This window comes from Homo sapiens, chromosome 9 (assembly GCF_000001405.40).
Source record: "Homo sapiens chromosome 9, GRCh38.p14 Primary Assembly".
In the NCBI taxonomy this organism is placed as follows: Eukaryota; Metazoa; Chordata; class Mammalia; order Primates; family Hominidae; genus Homo; species Homo sapiens.
The window spans coordinates 83,804,196-83,817,128 of NC_000009.12; the positions used below are offsets into that span (position 1 = coordinate 83,804,196).

General features: G+C 40.4%; 1 protein-coding gene across 4 annotated transcripts in view, besides 2 other annotated features; it reads right to left on the minus strand.

Moving 5' to 3' along the window:
- The window catches only part of GKAP1 (G kinase anchoring protein 1), a 78,345-nt gene that overhangs the window by 64,771 nt on the left and 641 nt on the right, over nucleotides 1-12,933 (minus strand). For 3 of the 4 annotated variants that reach the window (NM_001135953.2, NM_025211.4, XM_005252241.3), the window contains exons 2-3: nucleotides 12,801-12,932; nucleotides 2,107-2,365 (exon numbers count right to left, since the gene is read on the minus strand). In NM_001135953.2, the coding sequence (NP_001129425.1) occupies nucleotides 2,107-2,322 (216 nt within the window). In that variant the 5' untranslated portion in view covers nucleotides 2,323-2,365; nucleotides 12,801-12,932. Of the gene's footprint in view, nucleotides 1-2,106; nucleotides 2,366-11,730; nucleotides 11,822-12,800; nucleotide 12,933 lie in introns of all 4 variants that reach the window. The other variant, XM_011519058.3, reaches the window with a different exon arrangement.
- Nucleotides 454-1,355: an enhancer, noted in NCBI's record as "NANOG-H3K27ac-H3K4me1 hESC enhancer chr9:86419564-86420465 (GRCh37/hg19 assembly coordinates)". NCBI's record gives its function as "activates a minimal SCP1, AML or CMV promoter by ChIP-STARR-seq in naive H9 embryonic stem cells {active_cell/tissue: H9 hESC(naive)}" and the evidence as "EXISTENCE:reporter gene assay evidence [ECO:0000049][PMID:30033119]".
- Nucleotides 5,026-5,226: a silencer, noted in NCBI's record as "peak7280 fragment used in MPRA reporter construct". NCBI's record gives its function as "represses an SCP1 promoter by STARR-seq MPRAs in K562 erythroleukemia cells {active_cell/tissue: K562}" and the evidence as "EXISTENCE:reporter gene assay evidence [ECO:0000049][PMID:32103011]".

Sequence of the window (12,933 nt, forward strand, 5' to 3'; positions counted from 1 at the left end):
TGGGAAGTGAGGAGCCCCTCTGCCGGGCCAGCCACCCCGTCCGGGAGGGAGGTGGGGGGCTCAGCCCCCCGCCCGGCCAGCCGCCCCATCTGGGAGGGAGGTGGGGGGGTCAGCACCCCGCCCGGCCAGCCGCCCCATCCGGGAGGGAGGTGGGGGGGTCAGCCCCCCGCCCGGCCAGCCGCCCCGTCCGGGAGGGAGGTGGGGGGGGTCAGCCCCCCGCCCGGCCAGCCACCCCGTCCGGGAGGTGAGGGGCGCCTCTGCCCGGCCACCCCTACTGGGAAGTGAGGAGCCCCTCTGCTCGGCCAGCCGCCCCGTCCGGGAGGGAGGTGGGGGGGTCAGCCCCCCGCCCAGCCAGACGCCCCGTCCGGGAGGGAGGTGGGGGGGTCAGCCCCCGGCCCGGCCAGCCGCCCCATCCAGGAGGGAGGTGGGGGGGGTCAGCCCCCCGCCTGGCCAGCCGCCCCGTCCGGGAGGGAGGTGGGGGGGTCCAGCCCCCCGCCCGGCCAGCCGCCCCGTACGGGAGGGAGGTGGGGTCAGCCCCCCGCCGGGCCAGCCACCCCGTCCGGGAGGTGAGGGGCGCCTCTGCCCGGCCGCCCCTACTGGGAAGTGAGGAGCCCCTCTGCCTGGTCAGCCGCCCCGTCCGGGAGGGAGGTGGGGGGTCAGCCCCCCGCCCGGCCAGCCGCCCCGTCCGGGAGGTGAGGGGCGCCTCTGCCCGGCCGCCCCTACTGGGAAGTGAGGAGCCCCTCTGCCCGGCCACCACCCCATCTGGGAGGTGTACCCAACAGCTCATTGAGAACGGGCCGGGATGACAATGGCAGTTTTGTGGAATAGAAGGGGGGGAAAGGTGGGGAAAAGATTGAGAAATCGGATGGTTGCCGTGTCTGTGTAGAAAGAAGTAGACATGGGAGACTTTTCATTTTGTTCTGTACTAAGATAAATTCTTCTGCCTTGGGATCCTGTTGATCGGTGACCTTACCCCCAACCCTGTGCTCTCTGAAACGTGCTGTGTCCACTCAGGGTTAAATGGATTAAGGGCGGTGCAAGATGTGCTTTGTTAAACAGATGCTTGAAGGCAGCATGCTCGTTAAGAATCATCACCACTCCCTAATCTCAAGTACCCAGGGACACAAACACTGCGGAAGGCCGCAGGGTCCTCTGCCTAGGAAAACCAGAAACCTTTGTTCACTTGTTTATCTGCCGACCTTCCCTCCACTATTGTCCTATGACCCTGCCAAATCCCCCTCTGCGAGAAACACCCAAGAATGATCAATAAAAAAAATAAAAAATAAAAAAAAAACCATGTAATTAAATATTGTAAACTGTGGATTCATTTAAAATAACAGAGATCTGTATTTACCAATATGGAAAACTGCTCATGGTTAATTTTTTTTAAAAGCCAGTTATAAAACAGTCTATTATATAACCCCATTTTCATTTAAGTATTAGAAGGATATATACATACATGTATATATTCATATAAATTTATATATGTGTACAGAAAACACATACCAAAATATTAATTGGTTATATCTCTGGTTATATCTATAAATGACCTGTTTCCTTTTAAGACTTTCCTATTTTAAACTTTATGCAATGAACACACAAACTTCCAGTCAGAAAAAACGTACTTTAAAAATGTTCAGGCAGGGTGTGGTGGCTCACGCCTGTAATCCCAACCCTTTGGGAGGCTGAGGCAAGCAGATTGCTTGAGCCCAGGTGTTCAAGACCAGCCTATGCAACATGGCAAAACTCCATCTCTACAAAAAACGCAAAAATTAGCCAGGCATGGCAGTGTGTGCCTGTGGTCCCAGCTACTTGGGAGGCTAAGGTGTGAGGCTACCTTGAGCCTAGGAGGTTGAGGCTACAGTGAACTGTGATCATCCCACTGCACTCCAGCCTAGGTGACAGAGTGAGACCCTGTCTCAAAAAAAAAAAAAGATCATTACATTTGATTTTAAATATACACAAATTCACATCCATTCATTGAAGTAATATTTTCAGAGTACCTGTGGAACAGGTACTATGGATACACAGGGGAACAAGATAGTATCTGTTCTCAGGATGATTACCATCTACTGGGAAAGCAGACAACACAGATAATTGTGTTACCTCATTTGCTTCACTCTGTTGCTGTTCCTTCTTTTTTCTTCTTTTCTCTCTTTTTTTCTCATTTGTAGTTGACTTGCTTCCTAAAGTTTGAGACTTTCCAGTATTTCGACCTTTACCTTTTCCAGGTTCAGAATCAGAGCCACTGCCACTATCCACTTGTAACAGGGCAAAACGAGAAGCGGTGGTGGGAACAGAACTAAGTACTGCTGAGGCCATCGTAAAGATTTTTCTTTTAAAATACTTCTGTCAAGAATAATTTCTGTGGGGAGGCAGAAGAGTAGGCAGATGGGTAAACAAACAGAGTAAAATCTGTTGTAGATTCTAAAACAACCATATGTAGATAAAATAAATTTCTTCTGACACTGGATTTAGTAAATTTGGATTAATACCCACAGCACTATTAGCAATAACATACTTTTATATTTAAGTAAACGATATAACATTTTACAATAGAAAAATATGAGATTTCACAGATATAATGTACTCATTTTTCCATGTATACTTTAAAAATTCACAGTCTTCCTCTCTCAATCATTCTGAAATATATACATAGTTATAGAGAACATCCTAAATCAATATGGTTTACAGTGGAAAAGAATATCATTTTTTCATGATACACAAAAAAAAGACCTTTAGTCCAACTACATGTTAACTCCCAACTTCCAATACAAGAAAAAAAGGAGTAAAGACGGAATACCACTCTTATCATATATAAAATACTACCATAGGTTTGATTCTAGAGACTGTGATTTAGAACTGACAGCAAAAATAAAGAGCTTAAATTCTCTCAACCAAAGGAAACTTTTCAAAATGCCTTCCACATTATGTTTAGTTCACTAGTTTCCATGCAAGCATAGGTCAGTGTAGCTTCATTCCATGTGCTGTCAGCTTTTCCACAACCGTTTAGACTTAGAAGGGATCTTAAAAGTCCCCTAGTAGTTCCTAATCCAAATCCTTTAGTTATACAGCTAAGGTAAGTGGAGTTTAAGTTGGTTATGTGACTTCCCTTAGTTCTTTCTGGAAGTTAGCGGCTGAGTCTCCACCTGGACCTAGATTTGTTGAACCTTATTCTGAAAGTCCAAATTAAGAAGCCCTGTAACAACCAGAAGACTAAGTGCTCTTCTAATTAAAAAAGACAAAGATTGTCTTAACAGAATGGCAACTCAGAAATTTGTATTTTGAAATGTTTCAGGTAAAAACTGAATATTCAATTTGAAAAAATTAAGATGAACACTCCAAGTAGCCAGCACAAAGGTTAACAAAACGTTAACTGACTCCTATGCTTCTCTCCAATTGCATTCCCCCACTGCACCAGCCAGAGATAACAAGTATCCTGATTTTTGTATAACTTACTCCTTTGCTTTTCTTTATAGTTCTATTCTATGCCTTGATTCACAGTGATCATATTTGAATGAACTGCTGTCATTTCCACAATATCCCACTGGTTACATATATATTTCTTACTATATTCACATTATCACACAGGTCCACCCTATTCATTGCAGGAAAGGGCTATGTAAAGGTGAATACTAAGAAGTAAGGATCATTAAGATCCATTCTGAAAGCTAACCACACATTATCGTTTGTATGTTTTCAGGAGGGAAGAAAAATGAGAAGTATGTATTCAATCTTCCACCTTAAGTAACCAGAAAAATATTTGGAAATCTTTCAAGTTTTTGGTATACAATGAAGAAAAATCACAGTAAGAACTGATGTCTGAAGATGCCATCTAGTCGTCATTAAGTCATAGCATTTTATTACAGTATCATGTTAAGACAAATTGCTAGAAATATGCAAATCAAGATAAAATATCACAATGTACAGAGATGATACCACATTGATAAACCGTGACAGATTTTTGGCTCCAATCTTTTCTACAAGCATGAGAACGAATGCTTCATAAGTTACTACAAACAAGAAAATGTTTCAAAATGGAAAAGAAATTCCAGAAATATTATGGAAAAGATGAATTCTGCTTCAACCTCAACATATCTTATTAAAATAACCTTATAGGCCGGGTGCAGTGGCTCACACCTGTAATCCCAGTACTTTGGGAGGCCGAGGTGGGCAGGTCACTGGAGGCCAGGAGTTCGAAACCAGCCTGGGCAACATAGTGAGACCCTGTCTCTACTAAAAATACAAAAAATTAGCCGGGCATAGTGATGCATGCCTGTAATCCCAGCTACTCCAGAGGCTGAGGCATGAGAATCTCTTGAATCCAGGAAGTAGAGATTGCAGCAAACCGAGGTTGCACGACTGACTCCAGCCTGAGCAACGGAGTCAGACTCTCTCTCAAAAAAAAATAATAATCCTATATAAAATTTTACTTTCTTGAGCACTCAAGGTACAATTATCCTACATAGTTGTTCAACTATCATTAATATTCAATTTTAAATGTTGGGACTATTAATTGCAAGTGGCAGCTGTATTACTGTTCACAAATATTCACTGTCTCTCCCTGAAGGGGAATGATACTATACATCACTTCTCTGTTGAAGGCAGGCATAACCAGGTAACTTACTTTGGCCAGCGAAATATAAACTTTAAAAAGCTTTACAAGTCAGTGTGTGGTTCAACATGTTCTCTTTTCCCTGCTTCTGCGATTGCAGAAGCATATAGTGAGATGGAATTTCTATCAGCCAGATCTAATAAAGTCTGCAACCACAATGAACAAAGCCCCCTTACTAACCTGTGGTGGACATGGTAGCTTGAGCAAGAAAGCAACTTTGCTGCTTTCAGCTGCTGAGATTTTCAGATTGCTACTGAAGCCTTATCAAGACTTACACCTTACACAAAAAAATTTCTTCCCATTCTAGGACTGATATGAAAACTGTGAATTTCATATATGGATTATTTGCATGCATTAAATGTTCATAAATGTCTATTCTGAAACATCTCTCCAAGGCTCATAGAAATTTTCTTTCTGTAGCATAAGGCAGAGCTATCTTACCAGGGTATCCTTAGATAAAGTTTCCCTTAGGCCTTGGGGTAGCCAGGAAACCCCTGAAAAAGTAAAAGCCTCTGTTCCAGTCACTTCCAGATACAAGAAACCTCATCCGGTGCTCCTCAGTGGGTAGCTCCTGCACATGCTGCTCTGGAGTTATGTCAACTATGAAAAGGGAAGTGCTCCAAGTCCTAGTAATCTACCTCATCAGACAACTGCAGAATGCACTGCTACCCATTATCATAGACAGGCTTGTGAAACTGTTGGAAGATTATGTTCAAGGTGCCTAAACAGCAAGGCACACAGTAGAATAAGCAGCAAGTCAAGAATGGGGGAGCCCAAAATCTAGTGAGCAAGGTTTCCTTAAAGCAACAGCCTTAAATCTCTATATTGATTATATTTTTACCCATTTGCCAGTGACATGCATTTTCAGCAGCATCAAATCTAGCTGCAAGGTGACTGCTCAAACAATGCATATGCTTTCTGTCACCTAGAGCTTTGTCATTAAACACTTGAAATTAGAAAGGTCAATTGAATTTGAAATCCTGTCATTTGCTTATTTATTCATTTGTTTATTTTTGAGACAGGGTCTCGCTCTGTCGCCCAGGCTGGATTGCAGTAACATGATTATGGCTCACTGCAGCCTCGACTTCCTGGGCTAAAATGATTCTCCCAGATCAGCCTCCTGAGTAGCTGGGACTAAAAGTGTGTGCCACCATGCCTGGCTAATTTTTTCTATTTTTTTTATAGAGATGGGGGTCTCCCTATGTTGCCTAAGCTGGTCTCCAACTCCTGGGCTCAAGTGATCCTACCGCCTTAGCCTCCCAAAGTGCTGGGATTACAGGCATGAGCCACCGCAACTGCCCCAAATCCTTTCATTTTTATCGCAAGAAATTTTCTATTACATTTTTGATGAAAAGAGCTGTTAGATTATTTAAAAATAATTCCAACTGTTGTAAATTATTGAATGCTTAGATAAAAATTGTTTGTTTTTATTACCTACTCATACAAATGAAATTTTAATGGGTACTCAATTCTAAGAAATCATTATTTAAAAGTCTAGATCAGGAACTGAATATTCTTATTTCATGGATAAACTGATTTTAAAATGAAAAGTTAATGTTCACAGAAGCAAGTACAATTCTCTCATTAGAAACCCTGAAAAGAGTCTGAAGTTTTATAGAAATTCAACATTTAGTATCTTTCCTATAAATTTATATTATGTTTTACTTATCCTATACTATAACAAAAACGTTTTTCACATTTTTTTCCATCTAGTTCAGTACAGACACCTTTAAATCTCTTTCCAGTTTTGGGAGAATGAGATGCCTCTGGTTCTTTATGTCAGTAATGCAAAAGGCAAATGGCAGGGAGCACCAGCACAAGACCACTGACCTGGAGCCAGAATGCCCATCACACCCAACTTACTACTTAACGTAAGTACTTGAGCAACCTACTTGATCTCTCTTGAGTTGTTGTAAAGACTGAATAAGTTAATATACATAAAGTACTTAGAACAGTAGCCAGAAGCATTCAATACACTCAAGCATCACTTAATGATGGGGATACGTTGTGAGAAATGCATCATTAGGTGATTTCATCATTGTATGAGTATCACACAGTTTACTTACACAAGCCTAACTGGTACAGCCTACTATCCACCTAGGCTACATGGTATGGCCTATTGCTTCTAGGCTACAAATCTGTACAGCCTGTGACTGTACTGGAGGCAACTGTAACACAATGGTAAGTATTTGTATATCTAAAGAAAAGGTACAATAAAAATACCACTTTATATATGTCCATCATTGACCAAAACAAAACATAGTTATTGCAGCACATGACTATATAAGCATTTATGGGTGTTCTTACTATTCTTATTAGACTGAAATGTGCCATGAGGCGCTATGAGGCATAGGAGAATTGGTACAAACTATCTAAAAATTTGACTAAGCATGCCTAACTCCATTGAAAAGTGTTTTGAAACTTTATCAACATCTGGCCCCTATACAAGCTAAGGCTTTAATCTTTGAAATAAAAAAGTTTTTAGGCATTGAGTAGTAGGTGAGTGGTCAGCCACTGAAAAGAGTCAAAGACCTAAAGATTACACATAACATACTACGGAAGGAAAATACCTATCTACCAGAAACCCAAGAGTCACAGTTGAGACTATATCTTAAATAGTGGGCATACAATAGATATTAAACGTTTCTTGAATGAATGAAAAGAAGTAACAAAACAAACACAAAGCAAACAGAAAGTATTATGACAAATACTGTTAATCAAGAAAAGAACCAATGACAAACACTCAAAAGACAAAATTATTTTTCTGGTAAAGCAGCTACCTGTGCTATGTCACATCAGCAACCTATGTGTTAACATGTCTGAAAGGGTACTTCTGTCAGAAGGTTACTTCTGAAAAGCTAAAATGGAAAGGGGGAAATGCCCCTTTAATGACCTCTTGTTTGATCAGGGTAAAGTGCAAAAAGAGTAAGACAGTGGCAGCCACTTCCCATTATATTAGACTTTACATAACAGTAAATATTAAAGACAAAAAATAGCACTACTTAATCTGCAGCTAAGGGGATAGGAGATGAAACAACTGGAAGAGTTCAATCATCTGTGCTATGCTATACTTAAAAAAAAAAATAGCCAACATATCAACACATCATCTACTGCAACAGCCTTGACAGAAATCTACATACTATGTCAAAAGGTACAACGACCAGTACTTCAGAAGTAGAAGAGAAGGAAATGTAATTTTAAATGAAAGAAGGGAATAAAACTTAACATGAAAATAATCCCCAATTTGTAAATATGTCTATTATTCATACACATACCAAAATGAAGAAAGAAATGCATGGGATTACTCACTATGCTTATTTTCCTTTCTATGGTTTTTACTATTTCCCCAAATATTCTACAATGACTATATAAATATATATATACACATATATATACACATACATACATACACACACACATGTATACATATATACGTATATATGTATACGTATATATACACATATATATACACATATATACGTATATATATACGTATACATATATATGTATATATACACACGTATATATATACACGTATATATATATATATTTTTTTTTAGACAGGGTCTTACTCACACACCAAGGCTGGAGCAGTGGTGTGATCACGGCTCACTGCAGCCTCAACTTCCTGGTCTCAGGTGATTCTCCCACCTCGGCCTCCAGAGTAGCTGGGACTACAGGCACGTGACACCATGCCTGGCTAATTTTTTGCAGAGACAGGGTTTTGCCATGTTGCCCAGGCTGGTCTTGAACCCCTAGGCTCAAGCAATCCTCCTACCTCAGCCTCCCAAAGTGCTGGGATTACAGGAATGAGCCACCATGCCCGGCTCTACAATGATATTAGTTCTAAAAAAAAAAAAGAAAAACAACCTCAAAAAGAAAAAATGGTTATCTATACTCAAGTTGAAAAAGTTAAGCATAATGTAATCAATACAATATTGATTTTTTTGCCCTGTGTCAAAATTTAGAAAGGGCAACTACAGGTCAGAATTGACAATGAGACGCCTTTGGCCATTCACATCAGTGACAGACAAGTCAAACGACAGAGAGCAACTATCGAAGACTAATATGTTGCATACTTTTAAGAGAACACTACCCTCGTTAACTAATTTTTCAGAATTTTCAAAAAGATAGTCATGTTATGCAATCCAGGAATTCCTCTGTAACTTTTTTTTTAATCTTGATAAGAAGAAACAAATAGGGAGACTAGGAAAACATTAGGCTTTTAAAAGATACTATATTTCAGGTCATGGCTAGGGTTAGTATTCCTTCAGTCTTGTGTCCTAAACTTCTGCATCTCCACATACAGTCACATCTAAGAGATGTTAGGATAAATAGATTCAAACACAGCTCTTCTCCCTCCCTCTCTATACTTTTTCTCCTTCAAATACACTTGGTCTTTAAAATTTAGATGCTTCTATGCTTAGACATTTATATACACATAATATAATTAAGCCATACAATGCAAATGAAAATACAATGGACTGCCAATTAAGTTACTTAAATTAGTCTATGAATATGGTGGCTAATACTGTATATTAAACATTTACATATTATTAAACTACTACACAAATCAGGTTTTTGGTGCAGAAATCTAATGATTATTTTATTTATATTTTTCCCCTCCTCCCTTTGAGTTCCTTTTAAAAATAATTTCAAGGATATCTGGGCTCAGTGGTGCACACCTGTAATTTCAGCAACTTGGGAGACTGAAGCAGGAGATCACTTAAGTCCAGGAGTTTGGGACCAGCCCAGGCAACATAGCAAAACCGTATCTCATAAAATAAATGATAAAACTAATTTCAAGGATAATGTATAGTTGAAGGAAGACAAAATAAATTCACACGATAATTTTAAAAACAGAAATGTTTCAGGGCAAAATGTGAAATAAACACACATTCTCAATATGCAGGCAGTTCACCATAAATAAATATATCTTCTACTATCTTCCATAATGTAATGACTACCACTAGTACAAACTATTAATTTATACTTAAGATGGCAGCAGGCCACACATGGTGGTTCACACCTGTAATCCTGGTACTTTGGAAGGGCTGAGGTGGGCAGATTGCTTGAGCCCAGGAGTTCAAGATCAGCTAGGGAAACATGGCAAAACCCCTTCTCTACAAAATGTACAACAGTTAGCAGGCATAGTGGTGCATGACTGTGGTCCCAGCTACTTGGGAGGCTAAGGTGGTAGGATCACCTGAGCCTGGGGGTCGAGGCTGTAGTGAGCAGTGATTGTGCCACTGCACTACACCTTGGGTTACAGCCTGAGACCCTTTGTCAAAGAAGAAAAAGAAAAAAAAAAGATGGCAGCAATGTCAAAAATATAACAAAGTCTTTATTTTACATATACTTCATACCCAAAAAGCCAATTATTTGACTTATTAAATGTAATAGCATGCGTTAGGGCTTTCTCTAGCAACCCTCTTTCTTCAGATTTTGCATGTACTCCAAGAAAAAACAACTTGAAATTTCTTGAACACACAATTAGTTTACTTGTTCATATCTTTAACTATGCTGTTCTCTTTTGTCTACAATGCCATCTATCTCTTCCACTGAAAACTTCCATTTATTCCTCAAAATCCTGCTCAGGTGCTAGCATATCTATGAAGCGTTCTCTGACCTGTTCCTGAAGTTAAACATTCCCTCCTCTGTAATATTTCCATACTTTAAACTTACTATTATTGAATGGACTCCAAAAAAATTCTCTTTATTGTTGTGCCTAGCCCCTATGATCCTGATTTCAAGATCCTGAAAGACAAGAGTTTCTATCCCTTACAAATACCACAGGATCTGGCACATAGAAGACACATTTATTGAACTTAGTGTTTTCTTCATGTTTACATTCTTCAAGTACACAGCTGTCTATGCAGTGAAAAATGTGCTCTACAAGTAGAAAAAGAAATATGTGAAGTGCACAATAGACAATCCTCAATTCCCATAACGCAGATGTGCATGAGCAATTATTAGCAGTTCAAAGTTGTTTCATTACGGTAAGTACTATTCTAACAAACTAATTGCCACAACCAATTTTGTCTAGGAAGCATATCTGGTTTTAAAGTGTTGATTTAAGCCAGCCGGGCATGGTGGCTCACGCCTGTAATCCCAGCACTTTGGGAGGCCAAGGCGGGTGGATCACAAGGTCAAGAGATCGAGACCATCCTGGCCAACGTAGTGAAACCCCATCTCTACTAAAAATACAAAAACTAGCTGGGCATGGTGGCGCACGCCTGTAGTCCCAGCTACTCGGGAGGCTGAGGCAGGAGAATCGCTTGAACCAGGGAGGTAGAGGTTGCAGTGAGCCAAGACTGCGCCACCACATTCCAGCCTGGCAACAGAGCGAGAGACTGTCTCAAAAAAATGAAAAACTAAAGTGTTAATTTAAGAGAACTAGGATGCATTGGCTGCTTAAGTAAACTGCTTCTAAAAATGAATAGCCTAAGCTACAAGCAGGAGAATTTTTTTTTTCTCTTTGTGTATACATGGGGTCTCACTATGTTGCCCAGGCTGATCTCAAACTCCTGAGCTCAAGCAATCCTCCAGCCTCGGCCTCCCAAAGGGCTGGGATTACAGGCATGCACCACCAAGCCCGACCCAAGCAGAAGAATTCCTAAGTGGCTGGTAGTCTTGGCCTCTATCAAGGTTTGGAGGCACATTGCCATTATGACCTTATCCCTCTACACTATGACCTCACTAGAATCAAGACAGCAGCAGCCATATCTCAGTCCAGAAGACCACAATTAGGGAACTTCAGAAAACACACACACACACACACACACACAATTATACATATAAAATCCTTAAATCAAGAACAACCAAATATATTACTTTTTATGAGATGAATGATAGCCATCTTCTATTAACACTACCAATTAGCCTGACCAAAAAAAGGTATTAATGTAGATGCCAATTAGTGTGGCCTCACTGAAATATAACTTAGATCGAAATTAACTGAGCGTAATATGAAATGGCACCAAGTATCACTGATTTAACACCTGGTGAAATAAAAAATTGTGTTATTTCATGTTCTGTTCTTCAGATAACCAAACAGTATCTTTCACTTTGGCTTCTTAAAAATTAGGGTTCACAGGCCAGGTGTGGTGGCTCACACTTGTAATCCCAGCACTTTGGGAGGCAGAGGTGGGCAGATCACGAGGTCAGGAGTTCCAGACCAGCCTGGCCAACAAGGCGAAACACCGTCTGTATTAAAAATACAAAAAAAAAAAAAAAAAAAATTAGCCAGGCGCCTGTAATCCCAGCTACTCAGGAGGCTGAGGCAGGAGAGCTGCTTGAACCTGGAAGGCAGAAGGTGCTGTGAGCCGAGATCGCGCCATTACACTCCAGCCTGGGCAACAAGAGCAAAATTCCGCCTCAAGAAAAAAAAAAAATAGGGTTCACAATCAGCAAGTGTGAAGTGCATACTAAAACTCTGCTCCAAACACACTTACTGTAAGTGATGTAAACCCAATGGGTATGCCCCAAACTCCATTTTTTTCTCATAGTTAAGTACTGAGATCCCTCTCCAATCTGCAGCTCCCACTTTCTGCAGGCCAAGAAAGTTAAACAAAAAATACAAGCAGGTACTCAGTGAGGACCTGAGGGATTCTCCCACGAGTAAAATACATCTATTTTCACACAAGGTTCTTTTGGTCAACTTCTGGGTTTTGCTCTTACTCCAGAATTGAAGCTACTATAGTGTTATAAATCTGTTGAGAAAAGAAATCTAGACTTCTATGAAGATTTTTAATATTTTAATTTGCCAAAAAGCTTCTCAAATATTTTTATAGCTACAAGTCACATTTATTAAATGATTCCAGTTACAATCCCAAGCACATTTACTACACAACAGACAATGCTAAATGGTGAAGAAAAGTGTCTCCGGCTTTTTAGTGTAAGACAGACGATCTTTCATTAGTTCTTCTAATGAAAGCACTTGCATCTACTCTGAAAAATCTGGCGAAGGTAAAGAGTGAAAAAGAGGAGGAAGAGAAAAGGCAATCAGCCAATTTGATAAACTATTTTTGTCGTTACTGTTCAATATTTATGAAGCACCTTAATGCTAGAGATCTGACAAAAATTCGGTAAGGCTGTTCCAAACAATAACAGAAAAAAAAATCACTTTTCAATAGCTGGCGGGGGAGGAGGAGGAGCACTATATTCAAAAAGTAATTCACTATACCTCATTCATGAATGAAAGCCAAATTTCACCCATAGGCTGTTAACCGATGCTCCGAAACTTATTCGCAAAGTACATAGAGAAAGAAATTGCGCTGGGCGAAACCTAACTCGGGCAGAGAAGCGGCTTCAAAACC